Below are 27,536 nucleotides of genomic sequence, written 5' to 3'. Positions count from 1 at the left end.
GCCCAGATTGGATTTGCCTGAAGACCCCTCGGGGAGAAAAAAGCAAGCAAGTTGTTAGTATCAGCCCTCAGGAGTTCTATTCTCTGTCCCCAGCTCCTTCTCCTCTTTTCTCTCTTCCTTGGGCCTCTTCTGGAGCAAGCTTCAGGCCCCTGAGCAGGCTGAGGGGTTCCGGGGTGAGGTTTGGTGTCTGCCTCCCTCAGGCTAGGGGGAGGAGCAGCCTCCAGCTCCCTCCCTTCCTCTTCCTCTTAGTGCTGCCTTCTCTTTCTCCTCTTTGGCCCCCTTTTTCCCATCAAGGAACTCTCGGATCTGAACAACCCCCCTTAAAGAAGACAGCGCGATTCCATGCATTACTTTTCCCAGGAGTATGTGCACGTCAGAAGAGGAGCCCAGGGTCTCCTGGGCTTAAACCAGATGCACGATGCACCCCTGCACAGATGCTGGCATCCACAGGCAAACATTCCTCCCTAGAATCCCCTTGGGTGAGGCCAGGTGGCTTTTCTCCTAGACAGGTCAGCTGTTGCTGTCTCTCCATGATACACAGCTCATGGAGTCAAGAAGGATAGCACAACACATGTGCCACTGTGTGCACAACTCAGGCCCTGCCCTGTCGTCTCTACATGGGGTTCCACCGTGCACCAGGCCTCCCTCCTGTAGTGAAGCAGCCCCATCCCTTACACGGAGGCTGGGCGACACCTCGAGCCACTGAGACATGTGCCGTCTCTCCTGAGACTGGGAGACTCAGAAGTCGGATTCTACAGTTGTCTGCCCCTCCTCCCAGAGCCTGTTCAAAGTGCTTAATTAACAAATCTTGGGTATCAGGAAGTTATTTACTTGGCTTCCTCAGGAACTGTTCTCTAAAGAGCTCAAAGCACTGCTAATAGATTTTTTTATTCTTTCCATCCATCAAACAGCCTCCCCTCCTTCCAAACTTTACGTCTGCCTGAGCCCTGAGGGATCTGACTCTAATTTGAAGAACTCAGGAGAGACCTTCTAGCTTCGCTATAAGCATCTCTACCCAACCGCTACTATGCCCCACCTCCGCAAAGTTCCTGGCTCCACTTTAATGAAAGAATGATGGGGAAAGAGCAGCATCTGCAGACCCAGGTCTGCAGGAGAATCGGGTCCTCTCTGCTCTTGGAAATGCTGCTTAGCTGCCCACACCATTTGCATTGCTTTTACTTTGGCCACCCCACCCACCGCCCTGCTGAGAAGCAACCACAGCACCTGTGAACCTGCAGCAATCAAGAATAGAACTCACCTGCTGGTCTCTGACTCCTCTTGGGCCACAATCAGCACTTGGGGACCGTGGGGTGCTATAAATTAGGCAGCCTCCCTTGTACCATTGTCTCAGCTATTGCTGGACTCTGCTGCCTGTCTGCCCCCTGTTCCTCTAAACCACATGTCTGCTGTCCTTGCAACATCCTCTGGGCCTCCAGTGGCTTGACTGGACTCCTAGTTTGTTTCCTCTTGGGTCTATCTGTTCCCACTGAGGCCTCCAAATTCAGGAATCCTCCCTCCACACTGCACTTTGGGCGAACTTGAGGGTGCGCTCATAATCAGAGGCACTGCCTGGCGGAGACAAGAGGTGAACAGAGAGCGTTAGCCCAGGACACTGATCTGCATGGCACAGAGATAAACGTTACGATAATCATTACTATTGGTAACATTTATTGGCACATGCATTGTGCCAGGGAATTTGTATTCATCATTGCATAGAATCCTCTAAACCACCCTCTGATGTAGATGCTACTAGGAAGTGGCTATGCAATCGAAACACACAGTTAGTGTTATTTTATCACAGACTGTAATGTACTATCTACAAATGGCTCATTATGTATTCACCTGTGTTTTCAGATATAGAGTCACCCTGCATTATTATGCCAATTTCACAGATGAAGAGACAAAGACTTACAGACATCACTGTAATCAGAGAGTTCAGATTCCAATTCAGGTCTAACTCCAAAAGCTGTGCCCTCAATCTTGTACTATGTGAATCCACCACGTGGGTGCCAGCCCCTATGATCTCTCCACTCCTGAAGGCTGCCCCACTGCACATGCAGAGAGACTCGGACAACCCCATCCATAACGTAACTCAGGGAGGGAGTTCCATGGGGTGTGGGAGTTTTAGAACTAGAGGATCTCAGAATTTGAAAGAACCTTAGGGTTGCATGCAGTGATTCTGAACTGTTTCTGAGCTACTTAAGAATAATGAATGCTATATGCACACATATGCTGTGGCCTACACTTTGGGGGTTCTTGGACCCCAAGAAGCCTGGCCTTGGACCAAAGTGCCTTGGTTGGCACTCCCCTCCCCCTTGCTCCTTTTCTCCATGCATGTACATATCCCGGGTCTGGCTTCTTCAAGCCATTCAGGTTAGATTACGACAAGCTAATGACTCCTATCTAGCCCAAATCCCTGCTTGTGCAAAAATGGAATCAGGCCAGGGAAGGAAAGTTCTTTGCCCAACATCACAGAGTTAGTGGGGCTGGCAGAGCAGGCCTAGAGTCAGAGTGGATCACTTAGGCCAGAAAGTGTCCTGGGTGCTTAGGATCAGCGCCTGGCCCACCCAGGGAGAGCAGCTGCCCCTAGGGCCCCTAGGTCAACCACTTCAAGGGAGGACCAAAGCCTCAGTGTGCAGCCACTAAGCTCGCTCAGGGGTCTTCTGTCTCCCTTGCTGCCTCCTCTCCTGCCAGCCCATTCTCACCAGCTTTGAGGGCTTCAAATTAGACCTCCTGGTCCAGGAGAGAGCTGGAGAAGAGCTCAGGGAGGCTCTTTAGGGAAGAATGAGACAGTTTTTCAGGAGAGACTCTGAGCCCCCCAGTCCTGGGAGCCACATTCTCTATGTAAAGATCACCCTAGCTTCCCAGAGCTGAGGCTGTTCATCTCGGAAGCCATATCCTTCTACTCGGGGATCTAACCCAGGGATGAGGGGCCAACTCCAGCTTGAACCTCAACCCTCTGGTAGCACTCATTCCTCTGGTTACTCAGTGGTTTCCTAGAAGCGCTTACCTCTTCAGCACTGGCTTAATGATCTGTGCACAGCGGGTGCTCAGCAGTCACTTCTACATCTTGCATAGACTCTGAGATCCAGATCAGGAAGGCTTTGGGTACTGCTAGGCATATATCACCCATCCGACGACCCCAGTCCTCCCTCCTGCCCTCTGCATCTGCTGGAAGGTGGTAGCGAATCCAGCTCAGGGGGTGATGGGCTCATTATTGTGTCAGTAGGAGCCACCAGTGTCAGCCATAAATATTAACAGCCCTTGTTATGAACCCCGCTCAGTGCGGCTGCTTCAGTCCAAGTTTACACAGTAAACAGTGCAGTTCATTTATTTGATCGAGGGACACTCTTCAGACGAGCTAATAGCTCTGCGCCCCCACCCCCTGCTTTTCTGTTAGCTCAGCAGGCATAGCTCTGCAGGCAAGGGAGGCTCCACTGCTGCGCAAGGCCAGCGTTGGCTCTGTGACGACCAGAGGCCAGGCCCCTGGGGACAGCAGGCCAGGAGGCACAGGGCTAGGGCAGGGCCTCCTGCCCTTAGAGCTGTGGGACAGCTCTCCTGGGAAGCAGCAGCCTCCACAGCTCCTCTGGGGCAGCCAATTATCAGCACTTATCAGCTCTCGGTGGCTGAATCCAGTTTCTAAAGTATGAGCCGACATGGACACTGGGTCCTCTCATTGGTTTAATGGCGAGTAATGGAGAGAGAGGAGTTAAACACTAATGATATTCCAGCTTCTTGCTTTATTTTTTTCCAAAGCCGACCGCAGAGACTCTTCCATTCCACGTCACCCCAGGATACTGAGACAGCACTCCTCACTGTGAAGGGTGCATGTGCACAGGGGCAGGCTCGGTCCTGCCAGGAGCCCAGCAAGGGCTTGGCCCAAAAGTACAGTGTCAGGGGCTCAGTTTCCAGATTTCCCCAGACTGATACTTGGGCGGAGCTGGCTGTGGACAGGAGGGGATTCACATGTGCAGCTGCGGGGCAATCGCAGTGTCTGACTTTGGAAAATTAAAAGAAGTTGAGATGTACAATGCCAGCCATGAGGTGGGCAAGAGGAAAAAGGTGGGGTAGGGTGGGGCAGTTCCACAGAGGCCTGGCTAGGGGAAGAGAGAGACATAGAAGCAGCCAAAACTACCCCACTACCCAGAAGCGTGGGTTTTGCCTGCTTTTTTTTTTTTTTTTTTGAGATGGAGTCCTACTCTGTCATTCAGGCTGGGGTGCAGTGGTGCGATCTCAGTTCACTGCAACCTCCACCTCTCTAGTTTAAGCAATTCTTCTGCCTCAGCCTCCCGAGTAGCTGAGATTACAGGTGCACGCCATGATGGCTGGCTAATTTTTGTATTTTTGGTAGAGACAGAATTTTGTCATGTTGACCAGGTTGGTCTAGAACCCCTGACCTCAAGTGATCCGCCCACCTTGGCCTCTCAAAGTGCTGACATTACATGCAGGAGACACCACGCCCAGCCTGCCTGCTCCTTTTGACTCCAATGTGATTTTTTTCTTGCTTTCTTCTGTCACTCCCTTTTTTTCTCAGCCTTCGCAACAGGAGCTGCTGTATATGTGTGTGTGTAGTTAGGGGAAGAGTCTGGAATGAATCTGGTTGTTACTTTCCTATTCAGTATATCAGGGTGCGCTCTGGGCACCCACTGATAGACAATCCATGGCCTTGTGCTACCATGCTGCCTCTGCCTCAGCGGTCTTGCCCGGCACCTCAGCTTCTCACTGACATTGGCGACTCCTACTTGGACCCCAGCTGATTTGGTTGTGGCCTGGTCACCATGCCTGAGTCCTATTCATGTGGCTAGAATCCTGCTCTCAAATAACTCCTTTGCTCCAAAAATGCCTCCATCAACCTGATATCTAGTGTCACCAGCTGTCCCATCCTCCTCCCTGTGTCACTTGGATCCTGACAGCTACCTGGACTACTTCTAAATCCAACAGGGGCCCCAGATGCCATGCCCTGGCCTGCCTGGCACCTGCTCAGGAGACCAGGGCAGGTTTCCACAGGGTTGGTTCTAATTTTTTTCCCCATCCTCCATCTCCTGCCCGGCCTGCCTTGCACCTCAGCTGGTCTCGTCTGCTGCACTTTTCTTTCTTGCTTTCTCAGAGACAAGGAAGGGCTCTATTGGACAGGCCCTCGTGTGGAGCCTGGATCTGGCTGCAAAATGCAAACCTGTGATGATCAGAGAGCCCATGGCACTGCCCGGCAGGGGACAATTCCATGGGGTGCAAGGAGGGAGAAGCAGGCCAGACAGCCCTGAGGTCAAATACTCTCCTTCTGCCCGTTCTTTCACCCTGCGAAGCCTCATAAAATGGGCTTCGTAATAGCAGGAAGCTCACTTTCACTCAGTACATATTTGAGGATCTGCTATGAGCCAGGTACTATTCCAGCTACCATGGATACAATGTGAAACACACCCAGAGCCCCGCCTCACTGAGCTTGTTAAATGTTAGTGTTGGCCTGAGGATTACATGAAATGATGCATTCCAATACTTCAGTGAACATCCATTGTTTCACGTTTGTGGGGCTCATGTTCCCGTTTTTCTGAGTGCTATTACCCCCAATTCCTCCTGTGTATAAATCCACCTCCACTCTCATTATTATTGCTTGCAAAGTTGCCCACCCAACACCCCATTCCCTCAGCTGCAGACCAGGGCGGGGACCCACATACTTGACTCATCCTGGTCTTTGGCTGTGATGCTGGTCGAGGATAAAGCACATTGTCCATGTCCAGCCTCTTGGAGTCCTTCCCCAAGATCTTCATTCTGAAGCTGGGCTGACAACCTATCTCCTTTTCTCTTTGTTTACCACTCCTAAAACCAGGGCTTCCAGAACAGTTGGTGGCTTCAGCTCTCCCTGCAAAGGAACCCAAGAGAATGAGCCCCAACCTGGACTCAGGTGCGAGGACAGATGCAGAGCCAGGAGGCTGCAATCTCTCCTGCCTTTTCAAGCTTTAGTTGAAGGATCAATGTTTATCTTTTTTGCTTCTGAGCTATTTTGAGTTAGTATTTCACTTATAACAAGAAGATGTCTGATGAATACAAGTGGTTTCACATAGTAAGCATTCAAAATGTTCCTCTCCCCTAGGAAGGGTGAATGTGCCAAGGACAAAGCGGGATGGAAAAATATGAAAGATTTGGAAAGGGGGAGCTATTGGAAGTTTCTAAGTAGCTGGGCTTGTGTAGTCTGCATTCTTTACTGTGGCTAGTCTTTAGTTAAATTAGACTGAAGCACCAGGACCTCATCAACTTGCTCATTTTTATGTATCTGTAGACACTGACTGTTTCTATCTATCTATCTATCTATCTATCTATCATCTATCTATCATCTATCTAATCTGTCTGTCTGTCTGTCTATCTATCTACCTAATCTAATGCTCTTTTGAGAGTTTCACCAATTCCAGCTGAGCTGAGAGGGAAGGGATTTTGTAATTCTTCAGGATTGCTCAAGACAGTGAGAGCTGGGCACTAGTGTACCTCTGTGAATTTGGTAGTAGTTACAGCCATGGGCCATCTGTAGGAGGAAAAGAACTCAAAGGGGATGGAAACTGGACAGCTGAAAAAAAATTGTATGTTCTTCACACACTGGGGACTGATGTGGGGTGGGGGGAGGGGGGAGGGATAGCATTAGGAGATATACCTAATCCTAAATAACAAGTTAATGGGTGCAGCACACCAACATGGCACATGTATACATATGTAACGAATCTGCACGCTGTGCACATGTACCCTAAAACTTAAAGTATAATAATAATAAAATTTAAAAAAAAATTATGTTCCCTCCTACAAGTCTCTATTTCCTTTTCTTTCTTTCTTTTTTTTTTTTTTTTTGTTCTTACTTTGTTTCTCTCTAACCTCACTTGGGTCCTTTTCTTCTCTGCCCACCACCTCCACACAGGAGGACACCACACAGATGGACACCTGTCCACCACAGGAGGACATACAAGGGAACACATCAGGCTCTAGTAACCACCATTCTAAACAAACACCTGTTCTTATGAGTTAATGTTTCTCCACTTTTGCCTGCAGAAACCATTTCCATTGTAGGGAATTCTAACATCAGCTTTCAGCCCTGGGGTAGCTGGTAAATCAGTCACGGTGGCTCAGCATATCAAAAAACAAGCAGAAGAAGAGCAGAAAATCACCGATACTCACTCAGAAGCCTCCTGCTCCCATCTCTCTGGATCTGCAGCCAAATCCGTGGAAGGAAAAGCCAAGGCTCTCACTCAGGGCAAAACCGTAGCCTTCTTCCCATTCCCATTCCTGAGCAAAGAGCGAACATACTATTTCAATGGCCTGGGTCCTGTTGGTCAGGACTAGACTTGATGTTAATAAGAAAAGAATCAGGCTACAGCTCACAGGGACATGCTGATAAAACATCCATCCAGGAGGAAGCAGTGTGACCCATGATCCCCTGGACTCTATGGTGGGAGAGGGGGAAAAGGAAGTATGTCACCGTCAAATGTCGAGTCACAGCCTCTCTGAGTTTCAATTATTTGTCTGAAAAAATGAAGACGATAGTCTTCACTTCAAGGGATTCAAATTCAATAAAAACAACCCATGTGAAAACACTCAACACAGTGCAGGTACTGGGTGTAAATTGAAATTGGATTTGTCCTATTGACTCATTACAGATACATGCACATGAGCTCATGTGCACATACAACTTCTAGATGTGACCTGGATTCTGTTAACATATTCTCCAATCTCTTTTCAGTTGTTGGAGAAACAGACAGCATGAGCTGCTCCTCAGATGATGTGACTCACCCCTGCCCAAACACCAGTGGTCAGAGAAAAGCTCAGGCTTGTTCACAGTAGCCCCAGAGCTCAGGGGAGTGGACCCCACACGGTCTGAGGCTTTCAGCATAGGAGCTGGAACAACATGAAGTCTTCTGTCCACTCTGAGTTGATTGGAAAGCCCAAACATGGCATCTTGTCTTGTTCTTGATTTTTTTTTTTTTTTTTTGAGACAGAGTCTTGCTCTGTCACCCAGGCTAGAGTGCAGTGGCACCATCTCGGCTCACATCTCGGCTCACTGCAAGCTCCGCCTCCCGGGTTCACACCATTCTCCTGCCTCAGCCTCCCAAGTAGCTGGGACTACAGGTGCCCGCCACCACGCCAGGCTAATTTTTTGTATTTTTAGTAGAGAAGGGGTTTCACCTTGTTAGCCAGGATGGTCTCGATCTCCTGACCTCGTGATCTGCCCATCTCAGCCTCCCAAAGTGCTGGGATTACAGGCGTGAGCCACCGCGCCCAGCTGTGCTTGAGCATTTTATTTCCGGTAACATTTGATACAGGCAAACAGAAAGGACTACAAAAAACAACTTAATTCAAAATGCAATTGTGCTACACACAAAGCAGAAAGGGAGGTGAGGACAGAAGGCAAGGTGATATAATAGTTTGCGACACATGGAATTTGAAGCCAAATCTGCGCTCAAACCCTACAATGCCACCAGAACCCAAGTGACCATGCATATGCTTCAGTTTACTCATCTGCAAAATGAGAATGTCAATGACCCCTTCTTTGTCTATTTTATAAGGTTGAGGTGAGGATCAAGTGAGATAGCATCATTGAAATCACTTTGCAAAATATTATATAGCTAGCAGTTATGACAGTTGTTATTAATGTGGAATGTGCACAAGAGAGTTGGAAATCTCAAAGAGCCGACCTATTACCATAGTCAAACCATTTTCTCTTGAAAATCTCAGATATAAAAGGTTAGGTGCATAATGGCAGATTTCTTGCCCACAGGAACCCATTTTCATGAAAGAACAAAACTTTGAAGGATTCCTTCTTTTCCACCTGTATTCTACAAATAAAGATAGGAAGGAAGGCAAGGCTGTCTTGCTGGCTTCTCGGGTGGAGGACGCTGGGCTGGAGCAGTGCCTACAAACTTTGATCCTGGTGGAAGTCAGGAGCCTCTGGTGAGGCTTGTATATTTCACCCAAAGTGACAGGGACCTTGTTAGCCATTCTTGCATTGAGGAGCTTGATGGATTGAACTCCTGGGGAGAATGTGGCGGCTGTGATCTGCCATAAAGATGATGAATAACTTTTTTTTCTTAAATGATTACTGAAAACTTTACAGCTAGCCAAAGCTGGCTTTCTCAAAGCCCCTGGAGGAGAGCTTTTATAAAGTGTCATTTAATTAATAAGGAGGTTATTGATTGCTGTCATGCATGGAGTACTGCACAAGGGCCAGGTGAGAAAAAGGGATGGAGGACCACAGGCACAGAGAGGAAGGCAGGGGTGGGCCTGGGCCTGGGCCTGGACTGCAGCCTGGATAAAAACCAGGCCCCTGAAAACACTCTAGATTGCCAGTTAGGGGCAAAGCAGTCACTGTTTACCAGAGATGGTTAGAAGTGAAAGAGATGTTCTTATTTATAGCCTGATTTAGAAAATTCACTGTCATTTTGAGATAAAAAGAGAGGCAGTGTGCTGTGATGGGAGGTTTTCCTGGCTAAAAATTAAGGGACAAGAACCCTCTAGTAAGCTATGGTGCAGGCTAAAGAGTTGCTTAACTTCTTGGGTTTTAGCATCCTCATCTCTAAAATGATAGAACTGGACTAAATGATCTCCAGGATTCCAACTCAAATATGAGGGGTTCTCAAAAACTTCATAAAAAATGTGTATTAAGAAAACACTATCTCTTCTCATATCGGCAGGTCCAGGCCCGACCGCCAGACAATGCCACTGCATGGAGTGGCTGCTGGGCCTCTACTTCCTCAGCCACAACCCCATCATCCTGTTCATGGACCTGTAGGCGGTGCTGCCGTGCGAACTCTACCCAGTACAGTTTAGAAATCTGCTGAAGTGCTATGCTAAGGGGTTCAAAGGCCCGCTGCTACAGGAGCCACCAGTTTGGTTTAAGTCCTTTCTGTTTTGCGAGCTTATGTTTCAGGTGCCTTTCTTTCCCATTGCAACCTATGCCTTCCTCAAAGGAAGCTGCAACTGGATTCGAACCCCTGCAAATCATCTACTCAGTTCACACCATGATAACTTTAATTCCACTACTCTCCACATTTCTGTTGGAGGATTTCTCCAAAGCCAGTGGTTTCAAAGGATAAAGACCTGAGACTCTGCATGAACGGTTAACCCCTGTATCTGTCTATGCCCCCTACTTACTCATCCCATTCGTACTTTTAATTTTCATGTTGCAGAGCCCCTACTACAAGTATGAGGAGAAAAGAAAAAAGAAATAAGAGAAACAACCATTGGCCCAGGGTAGAAATGCCTGCAGGGCAGTTGTTTGTTGGATACAATACAGGGAACACTGCTCAGAACCCACATCTTCATCAGCATTTGAAACACTGGCAGCAATGCACAAGAGCAAGATGGTGTCAGAAACCACGTCAAAAACTCACCTTTTTTTTTTTTTTTTTTCAGACTGTCTCACTCTGTTACCAAGGCTGGAGTGAAAGGCAGTGGCATGATCTCGGCCCACTGCAACCTCCGCCTTCTGGGCTCAAACGATCTTCCCTAGCCTCCCAAGTAGCTGCGACTGCAGACATACACCACCACACATGGCTCATTTTTTTTAGTTTTTGTTTTTGTTTTGTGGAGACGGGGTTTCACCATGTTGCCCAGGTTGGTCTCGAATGCCTAGGCTCAAGTGATCCGCCCACCTCAGTCTTCCTAAGTGCTGGGATTACAGACGTGAGCCCCTGGGCCCAGCCCAAACCTTCACCTTCTAAGTGCACTGGGATGAACATACTGACCGGCTTCAGAGTGGGCAAAGAGGTGTGGGCTGGGTTATAGGGAAGTGGTACCAAATACTTGACTATGTGCCTAAGTTCCACTGCACCATTACTAAAAGCAGGACCAAACCAGAAACTGCTAAAGAACTTGGCCTGCTTGACATGTTCATGAGTCACCTGACCCCACAGCATATATGCTTATTATGATTAAACCCTCTACTCCTGATTCTCTAGAGTATATCACCTGTCAGCAAAATGAACAGTGGGATGTTTGGGGCCATTTAAAATGTCAAATTTTGCCTCTTTCGTATTAATTCAAAACTATGTCATGTTTTCTTGTCCTCACCTCTAACCCAAGGAAAAAAGACAAAATACTATGCAAAGGAAGTTTAAACTTAGTTTTCCTTAAGGTTCAGCCCTACAATGACTTTCAGTCAGAAATGGGTTAAACTGGAAAATGTTTTTGTTTCTGTTGCGAACAGATCATCCTAGGAGAAGGGTTTTTTTGGTTTGTTTGTTTGTTTGAAGTTACTTTGCTGGCCGGGCACAGTGGCTCACGCCTCTAATCCCAGCACTTCGGGAGGCCAAGGTGGGTGGATCACCAGAGGTCAGGAGTTCAAGACCAGCCTGACCAACATGGTGAAACCCCGTCTCTACTAAAAAATACAAAAATTAGCTGGGGATGGTGGCAGGTGCCTGGAATCCCAGCAACTCAGGAAGCTGAGGCAGGAGAATCACTTGAACCCAGGAGGCACAGGTTGCAGTGAACAGAGATCACGCCATTGCACTCCAGCCTGGGTGACACAGCAAGTCTCCGCCTCCAAAAAAAAAAAAAAGTTACTCTGTTTATTCTATTTCTAAATCTTAGTCTTCTCATTTGTAGAGGCTACCTGACATAAGTCCCTTTATCTGAAGTCTAGTATCTCAAGCCTGATCTAGAAGTGTGCTCCCTAGTGGCTAACTTCATCCTTCTAATATAGTTCAATCATTCCCATCTTGTTCTCAGAAGAAGGGAAGATGGCAGCAGCTGGGCATAACATAGCCACCTTGTGCATATAGGGTCTCTTCACGTTGGTGCTTGGCATTCCATCAGCTTTCTCTAAGTTTGTACTCAAGTCTGACCTTAAAATGATGTTAGACAATAGGTCCCGGTCAGTTCCCTCTATTTTCACCCATGTTGCTCACAAGCCATACTGGTCTGACTCACGTGTCTGATCCAAATATAGGTACCTCCTGACCACTTAAAACAACAACAACAAAACACTATGCATGGATTTAAAAAAATTTTGGCACCCAAACTCATACTAACTTGTTATAACGTGTCTGAACAGGATCTAGTTTGAGGCACCAAGGAGGAGAAAATATCAGTTTGAAAAGAACCTCTATCAAAGCAACATGAATTTTGCTAAAATTGAAGCAAGAACAAACCTCAAATTTATGGTGAAGCTTGGGTAAAAGAATGGTGCAATCACTGATGCTTTATGAAAAGTTTCTAGGGGCAAATCTCAAAAGAAATCAGCAGTTTACAAATGAGTAACTCATTTTAAGAAGAGATGATATTGAAGATGATGCCAGCAGCAGCAGACCATCCTCATCTATTTGCAAGGAAAAAATTCATCTTATTCATGCCCTAATTAAAAAAGACCGATAATTAACAGCACAAACAATAGCCAACACCATAGACACCTCAGTTGGTTCAGCTTACACAATTCTGACTGGAAAATTAAGGTTGAGCAAGCTTTCCACTTGATGAGTGCCAACGTCATTGTGCCCATGTCAGTTGCCAAGAAAAGCAGAGCTTTCAATGGAAATTTTAAACACGTGGGATCAAGACTGTGAAGCATTTCTTCAAAGAATTGTGACAGGGGATAAAACATGGCTGTACCAGTACTATCCTGAAAAGAAAGCACAATCAAAGCAATGGCTACCAAGAGGTGGAATGGTCCAGTCAAAGCAAAAGTGGACCAGTTTCTTGGGATACTCAGGCACTTTGCTCATTGACTTTCTGAAGGGCCAAAGAGTAACAACATCTGCTTAGAAAGAGAGTGCTTTGAAAAAGTTAGCCAAAGCTTTCACAGAAAACCCTCTGGGAAGCTCCACCAGAGAGTCCTTCTCCACTGTAACAATGCTTCTGCTGATTCCTTTCATCAAATAGAGAAAATTGTGAGAGCTTTGATGGGAAATCATTAGTCATCTTCCATATAGTCCTGATTTGGCTCTTTCTGACTTCTTTTTGTTTCCTAAAATTAGAAGAAGTGTGTAAAGCATACCGGGTTTTCTTAATAATGTAAAATAATTACATTATTAATAATAGTTACATTGTTAATAATAATTAATAATGTAAAAAAGACTGTACTGACATGATTAAATTCCCAGGAGCCTCAATTCTCTAGGAATGGGCTAAATAGCTGATAGCATCGCTTACAAAAAAAAGCGTCTTGAACTTGATAGAGATTGTGTTGAAAAATAGTTTATATTTTCAGTTTTATCTTTTAATTCCACTTTTCCACAAACTTTTTGAAGTTCCCTCATATTCTATTTTATTCTGAATTGCTCACAAGGGAACGGGATAAGGCAAAAAATAAAAAAAGAAAACATTTTGTCTACAGCTTTCTCTGGCTGAGTTCCTCAAAGAGAGAGCATAGATAAATACTGGCATGAGTTCAGCTATAACAATTATAGAGAAAAGGATAAAGTTGAACTCAAAATAGGCATCAGGGGGATATACTGACATTGGCAAACCTTAAGTTGTGTGTTCTAAAGTTTGGGGGCCCATCTTTTTCTTGAGCTGGTGAGCATCTCCTGTTATGGAAATCCAATTTGGGGCTTCCTGATCCTAGTGACATTAAACATTCCCTGACCAAGAACACTAGATTATGCCAGAGAGCTCTCATCCTGTTGGTGAGGCATTATACAGAATGACTTCAGGGGCTTCAAGTTGAAAGATGAAACAAGTTGTTATTTAAGATAAATGGGATTGGGTCTGAATCTTGGCTTTGCAACTTATTAGCTGTACAATTTTGAGCAAGTTGGTGTCTCTGAGCTTAATGGTACTAATGCATATCTGCATGGGTTACCATAAGGATTTAGAAGAATGATGTATGTAAAAGTACAGTGTCTGGAAGAGAGTAGATTCAGTAAAATATTGCTTTTCCTTCTCCTTCCGTGCTTTCTTGCTGTTTTTAAAACTGTAGAAAACAGGATATCTACCTGGTGAATGATGCCAAGGCAGCAGAGAACAGTACACACTGATGGATAACCTCAAGCTACTTGTAAGTCCTCAATCAGCAGCATTAATGACTAAAATAAACCTACTTGGTTTTAACAGCAATTAATGCATGGTTCATATTTGGCATCAGATTCAGAAGACTTGAAGCGAACACCACTTTTCAAGAAAAAAACAACCTGAGGTTTTCGTGGACTGCAAGCTCAGCGTGGGCCAACAGTGTGATAAGGCTGCTCAAAAAAGTTACTGGAACTTTTACTAATGGGTAGTAATTTATGGATCAAGGGAATGTGAGCATATCATTGATTTCTGGTAGATTGTAGCCAATTCTGGATGTCACGCACATTTAGGTACTACATTGGTAAAATTGAAGTTTCTTAAGAGGATAACATCACAGAAAAATTTCAGCACATCATAGGTGTTGAAAAATAGTTATCAGATCCAAAAATATTGAGATTGGAGTACCATAATAGCCATGCCCTTTGCTAGTTAATGTATAGCCTTTGCGCAAAAAAAGAGAAAAGCCGCTCTCCACAAGTAGGGGAAGCCCCATACCAGGTTTCCCACTCACACTACTCTGCACAGCCATATTCCCTTGTTCAGTGCACAACTTACACAATTGTATGTGGCAACCCTGTTGATAGCAAGACTTGAATTCTTGATAAGATGCCTTGTGGAAAATGGTGTAGATTTTTTCCATGTATCCACGCAGAGCAGGACGTGGGCGACTGGTGGGAAGGAGTTATAGAGAGACAGTGTTAGGCTTAAGAGAATTCCCTAATGATGATAGGCTAATGACTGTTATAACTCTAGTGGAGGCCTGAACAAATCAAAAGAAGGATTATATGGATCTGAAGAAAATCAGTCACAGAGGAAGCAGATCCCTTAAATCCAGCAGTGGCACTGCCAGTCCCGTGAATGGGACAGAGGATTCTCGGCCAAAAGAGTATCCCCTCCCAATGGCAAGGACATCCTAACGTGGAAATGGGTGCCAGGAGCTGAGGTCAATAGATTCTCCGTATTCCCCAGGGCACTGGCCTGATTAAGCTTAACATGTGACAGTGATCAGATTGTGGTCGCCTGAGCCACCGAATGGGCCATCCTATTGATGAACTTCTCTCCTCTGGTTCTAAGCTCTCAAGACATTTTTATTTTGATTTGACTCCACATGCAGTTTTACTAACAGGTGTAGTTTCTGGAACAACTATATTTCTGACTGTAAACGGATACAATTTCAGCCTCATTGTAATTTGGTGTCCCCTGAAAAGTGACTGTTCTTACTACTGTAACTCAATCATTTGGGATTCTGGTTATAGACATCAGCTTATTGGATGCAACTGCTTTTCAAATGAGGGTGATGTGAAGCCTATGGCATATTAGAAAGAATCCGCCTTCCTCGGCTCACACATGACTCACTCACTCTGTGATGGGAAACAGGCCACACATGCTGGTTCAGGAGGACAGGGATGAGGACAGCGCTCTGCACACTGGACGAAGGGACTGCATCTGAAAGGCCTTGTCTTCCAAAGCTGGCTGCTTTTTTCCTCTTTGCAATCTTCTGTTGTTACCCTGAGAACCCCTAACAAGTCAGTAAGGGGATCCTTCATTGACTACAGTTAAGGCCTCTGTTAAGGCATCCTCTCTTGAATTAAATATTCATTTGATTCCTCTTTTCTTTTTCTTCACAGTGAATTTCAGTTCTACTCTCAGACACATGCCCAGGCACTTTATCCTTCCATCAGTGCTTATTAGGTCACATTGGAGAAAGAGAGAGTGTCCAGCCCTGTAGGCCTCCTGACTTCCAGGTAGAAGGTGACTCTTCCTCGCTATTCTCCAAAACACAACTGAGTCTACATAGCAGCCCCAGGAAGATTCCACTTCAACCCCTTGGGGAAACGCTGCAAAGACTCAGCCAATATGTGAATCCCAGTGGTAAATGTTTGTTAGGGGCTTACGGATTTCCTAGATAAATCTGCTTCCAGTTTCATCACTGTGTTTACTTCCCAACAGCCCATGAGCAACAGGGGTAGACAAAGAGTGCAGTCACAAATAAGAGTCGGAAAGAGCAGGACGCAGTCCTGAACTGGAAAGGAGGGCTTATCACCTCCTGTGGCTTCAGGATTGAACAGAAGAACCCAGCCAGTGGTACTTACAAAAGATTTATTCATGATAAAACATCAGTGCCTATACTGTGAAGATGCTAAACCTTTACAAGGAAGAAAATACTTGCCATCTGAGCTGAAATAGAAAAATACCCTGTCTGAGTTGGTGGCAGGAAACGATCATGGTTCTGGACATCGCTGATAAGAATTGAGGCAGTTTCAGTGATGTGTGAGTCCTTGACTCTGGAAAATCACAAGTGCCCCTTGGGCTATGGAATGCTGGCCCTAGGCTCCAGAACAGTTTGTGGCTATGGAACTGGTGAAGGAAGTGCCAGGAGGAGACCTTTCATGTGTGTCCACCAAAGCAGGTAAAATTCTGGTGCAAGTCACTCGGGGTCATTGCAGCTACTCTTGCAGTAAGATCCCAAAGAGTGTTCTGGCAAGAGAACATTGCCTGTCTAGGTGAGGACCAATGGCCTGTCCTCAGGAACCAGTAGAAAAAGACACTTGGAGCAAGGTACTTTTCAGAGTCTCTCCTATTTGGATGACCACAGCTCAATGAGGTGGTAAAAACAGTAAGATAACTAGCCAGGAAAGAGAGTTCCAGGGGCTCAGTAGCCTCTTCGCACCAGTGCATTTCTGTGAATTCTGGATTTAAAATATTTCTTAAATAGTTGATTGTCAGGAAACGAAGGGAATTCCTTGGAGGCCGGAAGTTGAAAAGAAAGCGTGAAGGTATGTGTGCCCTGGAGTTGGCCTTTCCTCCTGCAGATCCCTGCTGTCCCAGAGCATCTATTTTATTTTTTATTTTTATTTATCATTTTTTTTTTGAGACAAGACTCTCACTCTGTTGCCCGGGCTGGAGTGCAGTGGCATGATCTCAGCTCACTGCAACCTCCACCTCCTGGGTTCAAGCGATTCTCCCACCTCAGCCTCCCAAATAGCTGGGATTACAGGCATGCGCCACAACACCTGACTGATTTTTGTATTTTTAGTAGAGACAGGGTTTCACACCATGTTGGCCAGGCTGGTCTCGAATTCCCGACCTCAGGTGATCTGCCTGCCTGGACCTCCCAAAGTACCGGGATTACAGGTGTGAGCCACGGTGCCCATCCTCAGAGTATCTATTTTAATAGGCACTGGAGCACCAGGGGACAGGAGACGAAGCCTAGGGCCTGGGCATGGTGGGAGATTCAATAGGTGACCCCTCATAAAGCCAGGACCCTCAAAAAGACACCTAATCAGCAGGGGTATCAGGTATCTATTGCCACAGCACTACTGTGTGGGAAACAACCACAGCTCCTCAGTGACATGCAAGACTAGCTGCTCCTTACTCACACATCTAGCCAGGCAGCCAGGTAGTTCTGCTGATCATGGCTGGGCTAACCCGCACCTGTGCAGGTCATCTGGCTATCCACTCGAACACTGATGGATGGAATGATGGGATGACTCTGTTCAGCTCCATGTTTCTTTCCGCCTCTGCCTGAAACTGGGGCAGGTCTCTCTCAGGGCAGTGGCAGAGGGCAAGAACAGCAAGTAGTGATGCACTTGCTCTTCTTCAAGTCTCTGTTTGTACCACAGCGAGAGACATTCTATTGCTTAAAGAAAGTCACATGGCTGGAATGAACATCAGACGGGGAGGTCACTACAAAGTTTCAGGGCACAGGGTGTGTATATGGAAAGGTGTGAGGGGTTGATGAGCACCCCTCAAAATTCATGTCCACCTGCAACCTCAGACCGCAAACTTATGTGGAAGCAGGATCTTTGCAAATATAATTAGTGAGGGATTGCAAGGTGAAATTATCCCAGATTTGGGGGAGGGAGAGGCTAAAGCCAATGACTGAGAAGAGGATTCAGAGAGATACATAGGGAAAAAAATGAGGCAGAGATAAAAGTGATGAAGTCACAAGCCTAAGGATGCCGAGAGCCACTAGAAGAGGCATCCACTAGAAGAGGCAAGGAAGCGTTCTCCCCTGAGCCTTTGGAGGGAGCACAGCTCTCCCAGTGCCTCGATTCAGACTCCCAGCCTCCAGAACTGTAAGAAAATACATTTCTGTTGTTTTCACCCACCAGCTTTAGGACAATTTGTTGCCGCAGTTCCAGGAAAACTAATTCAGTAAGGATGAAGAACTGGGGCCCTGAATTCAATCAATTGGCCACAGAGGGTAAACTTCAAAAATATAAATTTGCTAAGCAGAAACAATGGTTGGGATTAGGGGCTTTCCTGGCCTTGTACTTGGCTAGAACAAAAAATAAAATTTCCTCAGAGAATTTTTAACTACCAACTTGCCCTCCTACAAGTTAAGGGCTGAAATTCATGCAAACTCTGTGCACTATAACCCCCTCCACCCCCACCAAAGAAACCCCACAAAATCCAAACTCAAAGTTTAATTAAGTGGCCACAAATTAGAAACACCCCAGATGCCTCCCAGAAGCAAAGGAAAATTCTCTCTAGAGGGATGTATGTTAGACACAGGCCACAAAGAATCGCTATACGTAAGTTGTAAAGAACATACTTTCCCAACAGAAAAACACTCATTTTGCAAGGCAACAAGAATCAGCAGAAACATTCAAATGCAGAGTCACACAAGTGAAGAACATAGTTATAAGAAACAGAAATATACAATTTAAATTGTGTTATGAACTGAACCTGTCCCCCAAAATTCATATCTTGAAGCCAGACCCAGTAGTCCTTCAGAATATGACTGCATTTGGAGTCATAATATAATATGACTGTATTTGTTTTTGTTGTTGCTTTTTGAGACAGAGTTTTGCTCTTGTCGCCTAGGCTGGAATGCAATGGTACATCTTGGCTCACTACAACTTCCACCTCCCAGGTTCAAGTGATTCTCCTGCCTCAGCCTTCTGAATAGCTGGGATTACAGATGCCCGCCACTATGCCCAGCTAATTTTTGTATTTTTAGTAGAGATGGGGTTTCGCCATGTTGGGCAGGCTGGTCTCAAACTGTTGACCTCAGGTAATCCACCCACCTCGGCTTCCCAAAGTGCTGGGATTACAGGCGTGAGCTACCACACCTGGCCAAAATATGACTGTATTTGGAGTCATCTTTAAAGAGATGACCAATTTAAAATGAGGCTGTTATGGTGGACTGTAATCCAATCTGACTGGTGTCTCTATAAGAAGAGGAAATGTAGAGTTACACAGACCCAGGGGATGCATGTGCATGAAGGAAAGACTGTGTAAGGACACAGACAGCAGAAGACTATCTGCAAGCTGAGGAGAGAGAACTCAGGAGAAACCAACCCTGCCTCCACCTTGATCTTGAACTTCCAGCTTCCAGAACTCTGAGAAAATAAACGCCTAATATTTAAATCCAGTCTGTTGTATTTTGCTATGGCAGCCCTGGGAAACCAGTAACAACATGTTTAAACAAATAAAAGTGGGGTTTGTAGGTGTGACTTATTAAGCAAGATATTATTAAAATAAAATCAACCTCTCATTTTTACTAGAAGAACCAAAAAATTCTGAAAATTAAAACCATCCTAATTAGAAACAAAATAAATAGCAGATTCCACTTAATCATAAACCTGGAGCTAGATCTAAAGAATACCAGAATATAGCACAGACAGACAGAGAGATAAAAAATAGAAAAGACTTCGTGACATGAAGGTAGAATGAGGAAGTCTAACATGCATATGGTGAGAGTCGTAGGGGAAGAGATAAGAAAGAATGAGGGATCTATAATTAATCATCCCTGGTTGAGACGGTGGCCCATCTCTCCTGGATGTTGCTAGAGTAGGCATGACACAGGTGGCAATGTTTGATATAGACCTGCCTCGTGACAAATAAAGGACAGTAATGGAAGCAGAGGAAAAATATACCTAAAGATACAGAGGCTTGAGAAAGCAGGGTGTCTCCTGGGTGCGAGGAGTTTTGACAGTACTGTAGGGTGTGTGGGCATGTGGCACCTCTGTGGCCATCTGGGGACCAGGGATTTGGAGGCAGGCAGTGGCAAGTGGTCAGATGGAAGGGCTTTTCCTACCGACTATGAGACTCAGGCTGTGTCCTGTAGGTGACGGGAAGTCAATGGACACCTCTAAGCAAGGAAGTGACATGATCAGCTTTATATCTAGGAAGATAAAGCACCTAGAAGAAACTCCATAAGTGCTTGTGGTTTGATCAATGTAGGCTGCTGATACTGATCCCTTTGTTCTTGGAAGGCTGTGGCTAGGATAAGCGTAAGGCCTTCTTGATCCATCTTCTTCTGCAGAGAGAGGATTCCTGAGGGAGTCTCTGCCTTTGAGCACACTGGGTTTCAGGCTGGCAAATTAAAAACGATGACCTCAGGTGCTCTGGGTCTGCAAAGCACCTTTGTAAGACATCGCTCAATTCTTCCCAAGCTTTCCTTCCAAGACAGAAGCTTAGACTAGAGAAGCTCTGTTTCCCCCACTTAATGCCAGGCTCTGCCTGACTTGACTTTAGGACCACACTGTCCAATTCCAGGCCAGGCACAAAATGGATCTCAGAAACCCTCCCTTATTCTCATTTTTCCAGGCAATTTTGATCTCTTCTGGTTTGGTAATTTCCTCTCCTATTACTTGGCCTTTTGTTGGTGAAGTGCAGTTGGTAGGTGGACAGAACTAATATTTACTGAGTATGTGCAACTTTGTAGAGCTGTCAGAAGTCTCCAAAGTGCATCATCCCAACTGCTCACCTGGCAGCCTCAGAGTGTTCATATTATTATTCTCATTTTATGAAAAAGGTGGAGCCATTTGCTTACATTCCCGGCTGTAGGAAAGAGTGAGTCTGGGATTCCAACCCAAGTGAGCCAGTCTCAATTGCTCCCAACTGCTCCAGCTACCTTTCTGTGCTCATCTCTTCAGCAGTACCTTAAAAGCCAGTTACCACTGGCAAAATCGCACGCTGTGGGCAAGCTTCATTCCCCGCAAGCTGCCTTCTTCCATCTTTCTGTCTGGTTAAAAGTGGGTCCATGTCACCATCTCTCCCACATGTAGACACATTTGTGATGGATGCATCTTATCTGTTACTTTTTAATCACTAGCATTTATAATTTACTTCTATAACTGATCTTTGTTGCTTACTAAATGACACATCACTATTGTGGGGGACCTGGTAGCTGACACAAGCAAACAGCCCTGTGCGTGAGATCAGGACACTGTTGTGTTCTGCCCGGTTAAGCACACGTGTAGCCTCAACTGATTCCAAATCCAGCCCCAGATGTTCATTCCCTGGAGAGCAGTTTTCTGTAACTGCTCTTGCACCAAGGCTGCATTATTTGACTTTGGTATTTTTCCAAGTGAATAATTTGGACATCTTCTAGGTGCAACGTCTGGCTGAAATTATCTCCAGATATAGACTCCAAAACAGAGAGTCCTCCTCTAAAAATGAGCTGACAACAGGTGCCCACTTCTGTCGTGTCGTGTCTGAGAACAGCATTTGTGTGAATACCATAGACCTTCCAAATCTGAGCCTCTGGGAGCAGTAGCCACCAATCTAAATGTGAACCCAATCCCTGGTCATTCTTATTTAACCAGCCTAATGTTTAGGAAACACTTGGCAAGAGAAACAAAAGACAAAAGAAGAAAAAGGATGGAGGAAGGGGAGGTACAAACATATAGTTAATAGAAGAAATAAGTCCTAGTGTTCGACAACACAGTAGGGTGACGATAGTTAATAATAATTTATTGTGTATTTCAAAATAACTAGAAGAGAGGATTTGAAATGTTCTAACACAAAGAAATAGCAAATGTTTGAGGTGATGAGCCTCCTAATTACCCTGATGTGATCCTTACACATTGCATGCATAATTCAAAATATCATATGTACCTCATAACAACATACAATTATTATGCATCAGTAAAAATAATGCAATCTTTTTAAAATCAAGTTTTTTAAAAAACTGAAAAGAAGGAAGAATGGAAGGAGGGAAAGAAGGAGGGGAGGTCGGCAGGGAGAAAGAGGAACTCGGTTCAAGCTGTCAGATCATCCCAAACCTTGCTTGAGAAAATACATAATTCACCTCTTCTCTAGCCTCAGCATAGCAAAGAGCAAGGAGTGGGAGCACCATAAATATTTTTTTGACTGACAGGATAGGTCTTGACAAGAGAAGATGAGTTCATGTGGGGTTCAGCCTAGGGCTGGAAGGGGCCCTAGAGGAATGTGGCTCTCAAGGGGTTGATGCCTTACCAGGGGTAAGTTTGGGAATCTGAGGAGGCATTATCATTTATCACAATGATTGGTAGAGGGGGCGGTGATTACCAGCATTTAAGGTAAGATGGAAGGCTAGAAACCCTGCAACATTTGGGGAAGTCTTCCCGAGGTGGAATTGTTCTGCACCCCACATGATATCTGTATGTTCCGTAGGTGAAAACCCTGCTTATAATTACCCAGGCCCAGAACTTAACTTCATTGCATGACATAAAACCATAATATGTTTTAAAATATGGTTTTAATATAGACTGTATTTTCCAGAAATGACTTCCTTGTAAATCAAGGAAAGACTGTGTTGTTCAGAAGTTTACCAGGAGTTGTTTACCGTTTGGGAAAATCATGTCATTGATAGCAGTGTGGTCTGTGCTATTTGAATCAATACAACCCATCTAGAACCATCCACATTTTTTTCTCTTTCACTATGACCTGAGATATAGTGACAACCTTTAAGTTCTACCTTATTGCTTTCTAGTATAAATATGCTGATCACGTATATATTGAAAACCTTACATTATAATAATCACTTTTTCCTTATTCTTCCTTTATATCACTCATAGTACATTATACTTTGCAAGTTGTAAGTATAGACAGGTTGTTTTGTTTTTGAATTTCAGTTTGGAATAATTATGGGGCATTGCAAAATATTTGCTATGATATGTTAAAAAGCCACTGATCAATACTCTTATATTCATCGTACATAATCTGAAGTCCGAAAAGGTAGAGACTTATTCAAGGTCAAGAAGTGAGAGGGCTAGAACAGAGAGGGTTAGAAGCCAAGCCTTCTCACTGCTGATTCAGTGAACTTGTCACAAGGTCTCACCTCTCAAAGTGACCAAGAACACCTTTCCTATAGCTAGAACCCTCCTTGTGCTATGCTTCTGAGCAATGTCTGCCAAGGCAGGCACAGCACTGTGTGAGACCTCTTCACCTTCTAAATCATATCTTCTCTGATGTGGTTTGGCTCTGTCCCCACCCAAATCTCATCTTGAATTGTAGTTCCCATAATCCCCACGTGTCATGGGTGGGTGGGACAGGTAGAGATCATCGAGTCATGGGAGCAGTTTTCCACATCCTGTTCTCGTGACAGTTCTCATAAGATCTGATGGTTTTATAAGGGGCTTTCTCCTTCACTAGGCACTCATACTCTCTCCTGCCATCCTGTGAAGAGGTGCTTTCTACCATGATTGTAAGTTTCCTGGGGCCTCCCCAGCCATGTGGAACTATGAGTCAATTAAACCTCTCTCCTTTACTACTCAGTCTTGGGTATTTCTTCATAGCAGCATGAGAACAGACTAATACAGTAAACTGCTATCACAGAGAGTGGGGTGCTGCTATAAAGATACCTGAAAATGTGGAAGTGACTTTGGAACTTGGTAACAGGCAGAGGTTGAAACAGTTTGGAGGGCTCAGAAAAAGACAGAAAGATGTGAGAAACTTTGGAACTTCTAGAGACTTGTTGAATGGCTTCAACCAAAATGCTCACAGTGACATGAACAGTGAAATCCATGCTGGGGTAGTCTCAGATGGAGATGGGGAACTTGTTGGGAACTGGAGTAAAGGTGACTCTTCGTAGGCAAAGAGACTGGCACCATTTTGCACTGGCTCCAGAGATCTCTGGAACTTTGAACTTGAGAGATATGACTTAGAGTATCTGACAGAAGAAATTTCTAAGTGGCAAGGCATTCAAGAGGAAGCAAAGCATAAAAGTTTGGGAAATTTGCAGCCTGACGATGTGATAGAAAAGAAAACCCCATTTTCTGGGGAGAAATTCAAATTGGCTGCAGAAACTTGTATAAGTAATGAAGAACCAAGTGTAATCACTAAGACAATGGGGAAAATGTCTCCAGGGCATGTCAGAGACTTTCATAGCAGCCCCTCCCATCACAGGCCTAGGAGGAATAAATGGTTTCCTGGGCTGGGTCCAGAGCCCCCATGCCATGTGCATCCTTGGGACTTGGTGTCTTGTGTTCCAGCCACTCCAGCTGTGGCTAAAAGGGGCCAAGGTACACCTCAGGCTGTTGCTTCAGAGGGTGCAAGCCCCAAGCCTTGCTGGCTTATACATGGTGTTGGACCTGCCAGTACACAGAAGTCAAGAATTGAGGTTTGGTAACCTCTGCCTAGATTTTAGAGGATGTGTGGAAATGCCTGGATGTCCAGGCAGAAGTTTGCTGCAGGGGTGGAGCACTCATGGAGAACCTCTGCTAGGGCAATGTAGAAGGGAAATGTGGGGTCAGAGCCTGTACACAGAGTTCCCACTGGGGCACTGCCTAGTGGAGCTGTGAGAAGAGGGTCACCATCCTCCAGACCCCAGAAAGGTAGATTCACTGAGAGCTTGCACTGTGCACCTGCAAAACCTGCAGACACTCAACATCAGCCTGTGGAAGCACCCAGGAGGGAGGCTGTACCCTGAAAAGCCACAGGTGCAGAGCTGTCCAAGGCCCATGAGCCCACCTCTTGCATCAGCATGACCTGGATGTGAGACATAAAGTCAAAGGAGATCATTTTGGAACTTTAAGGTTTAATATCTGCCCTTTTGGATTTTGGGCTCGTATGGGGCCTGTAGCACCTTTGTTTTGGCCAATTTCTCCAATTTGCAATGGAAACATTTACCCAACGTCTGTACCCCCATCGTATCTTGGAAATAACAAACTTGCTTTTAATTTTACAGGCACATAGACAGAAGGGACTTGGCTTGTCTGAGATGAAACTTTGGACTTGGACTTTTGCGTTAATGATGGAATGAGTAAGACTGGGGGACTGTTGGAAGGGCATGATTGTGTTTTGAATTGTGAGTACATGAGATTTGGGAGGGGCAAGAGGTGGAATGATATGGTTTGGCTGTGTCCCCACCCAAATCTCATCCTGAATTGTAGTTCCCATAATCTCCAAGTGTTGTGGGAGGGACCAGGTGGAGATGGTTGGATGATGGGGCATTTTCTCCCATTCTGTTCTCATGAGAGTGAGTTAGTTCTCTCGAGATCTAAAGGTTTTATAAGGGCTTCCCCCTTTGCTGGGCACTCATTCTCTCTCCTGCTACCCTGTGAAGAGGTACCTTCCACATTGATTGTAAGTTTCCTGAGGCCTCCCCAGCCATGTGAAACTGTGAGTCAATTAAAACTCTTTCCTTTATAAATTACCCAGTGTTCGGTATTTCTTCATAGCAGTGTGAAAAAAGACTAATACATTCTCCTTTTTTTTCTTTCCCCGTCAGACCCACTCAGACAAGTTATCATCTTCTGATATCTAAGAGACAGATGGAAACCCAACAGAGAGGATGGGTGCTCATTCTAGGCTTATTGATGGTGTATTAGCTTGCTAGGGTTGCTGTAACCAATTACTACAAACTGGGTGGCTTAAAACTGCAGAAGTGTATTGTCTCTGAGTCCTGGAGGCCAGAAATGTGAAATCAAAGTGTTAACAGGACCATACTCCCTCCCTCTGCCCTAGGAAGAGCTCTAGGGCAGAGCCCTTCCTTGCCTTTTCCTGGTTCTGTGGCTCCGGGGATTCCTTGGCTTCTGGCCGAATCACTCCCATCTCATCCTGTGTCTTCACATGGCCTCTAACCTGTGTGTCTGTGTCTGTTTCTTCTTTACTGCTCCTATAAAGACTTGTCATTGCAGTTAGGTGTCACCCTAATCCAGGATAATCTCATCTCGAGACCTTTAACTTAATGACCCTTTTAACGAGACACAATCACATGAGGTTCTCAAAGGACACATCTTTGGGAACCTAGATAAAGGTGTCACCAGTCAACCACTACAGATGGTATTAGCAAATAACAACTGCCTGACCAGGTAAAGATTCAGACTCAGAATTTAGATTCCACATTTCCTAGCTCCTGAGTTGTGGATTCCAAAGTCTACTCAGTCATGGAAATGTTGGGTAGAAGTCACATATAGGTGGGTAATCCATGAATTTACCCAGTTCTGCTCTTCATGTTAGAAATGAGTATGCGGAAGTCCGGAGAAAAGAAGTGACTGACCCAAAGTCACTCAGATATTGGGGTCGGAGCCAGAACCCAGATCCAGCTTTCTGGGTTTACAAACTATGCCTTGCATAAAGCTTGTCCATAAGACAAAGCAAATCCTGTTTCCCGAACCCTCCCCACCAATAACCCTTACTGTATTACAAAAGAGAAGCTCCTATCACCCTGAGATTTGGGCACTAGCCTTTGGCCCTTCCCTGGGAAGTCACGGACCCACTGAGGGGCACAGAAAGGAAGCTTCTGCAGGTTCCTGGGGATTTACAAGATGCAGAAAACCAAGGCAAGCTATTTCTTTTTTGGTGGGGTTGAGGAGGACAGGATCTCATTCTATCACCGACAATGAAGCGCAGTGGTGCAATCACAGCTCACCATAGCCTCAACCTCCCTGGCTCTAAGCTATCCTCCTGCCTCAGCCTCCCACATCGTTGAGACCACAGGCAGGTGCCTCCACACCCAGCTAACTAATTTTTTTTGTTGTTTTTTTTGTAGAGACATGTGTCTCACTATGTTGCCCAGTCTGGCCTCAAACTCTTGGGCTCAATCTATCCTCCCAGCTTGGCCTCCCAAAGCTCTGGCATTACTGGCGTGAGCCACGGCACCCAGCCCTAAGCTCTTTCTTGCCCTAGGCTGCCTTTCCCTTCACAGACACTTGTTCCATATTTACATTCCATTTATGTTGCCTCTTGTTTATCTTGTTACCTAAGTGCTTGGCACAAAAGTAATTATTTTGTTGCAAAAGCCACCGCAGCAACCGGCAAAGTTTAAAAAAAAATAAAAAATAAATAAAAGGCTTTGACTTCGGTGCAGAATTGTACAAATAACTACCCCAACAGAGACATGGGAAATTATGCTCACTGTCAGCCACCACCACCACTGTCAGAAGATTCCGAGGGTGACATCTTGCCATTGTGCAGAGGAAAAAGATCATTTCTTAGCAAAGTGATTTTTGCAGATGCTCTCAATGCTGAATGCTCTCTCCCCACACACTCCCCTCCCCTCCTCCAAATGATCAGTACAGTATCAATTCACATAGCACAGCATGCAAAGCAGATAGAAGGCAACTCCCTGCCGAGTCTCCATCCAGATAATTCTCTCTCTTTCATGCCAAAGCAAACAGTGGGGAGAAAAAAAAAGGACATTTTTCCTTGGGGAAACAAAAAACGACCTTCCTACCCAAATGAGGCATGGTGGGTTTGGAGGCTGTACCCAGGCCCACACGGGCAGGCCCATACTTTCCCCCTCTTGACACGTACTTACAAAGCTATTTTTAATTAGATAGACTTCATTTGACTAACAGCAAAATAGCAATTTCACTGTTTTCGGGGAAGACGAA

At 45.4% G+C, this 27,536-nt stretch overlaps 1 long non-coding RNA gene and 1 pseudogene across 1 annotated transcript in view; one reads left to right on the top strand and one right to left on the bottom strand.

Annotated features, from left to right (window-relative positions):
• LOC105379315 (uncharacterized) overlaps positions 1-27,536 on the bottom strand; it is a 283,462-nt gene that overhangs the window by 3,787 nt on the left and 252,139 nt on the right. The window contains exons 4-6 of the long non-coding RNA XR_949569.4: positions 7,156-7,263; positions 5,673-5,857; positions 1,259-1,569 (exon numbers count right to left, since the gene is read on the bottom strand). This is a non-coding gene — a long non-coding RNA (uncharacterized LOC105379315). The remainder of the gene's footprint in view (positions 1-1,258; positions 1,570-5,672; positions 5,858-7,155; positions 7,264-27,536) is intronic.
• Positions 9,648-11,939, top strand: TMEM97P2 (transmembrane protein 97 pseudogene 2; annotated as a pseudogene).

The sequence above is a fragment of the Homo sapiens genome, chromosome 8, assembly GCF_000001405.40.
Source record: "Homo sapiens chromosome 8, GRCh38.p14 Primary Assembly".
Classification (NCBI taxonomy): Eukaryota; Metazoa; Chordata; class Mammalia; order Primates; family Hominidae; genus Homo; species Homo sapiens.
The sequence above is the reverse complement of the archived record's forward strand: the minus strand, read 5'-3'. Positions and strand labels throughout refer to the sequence as shown.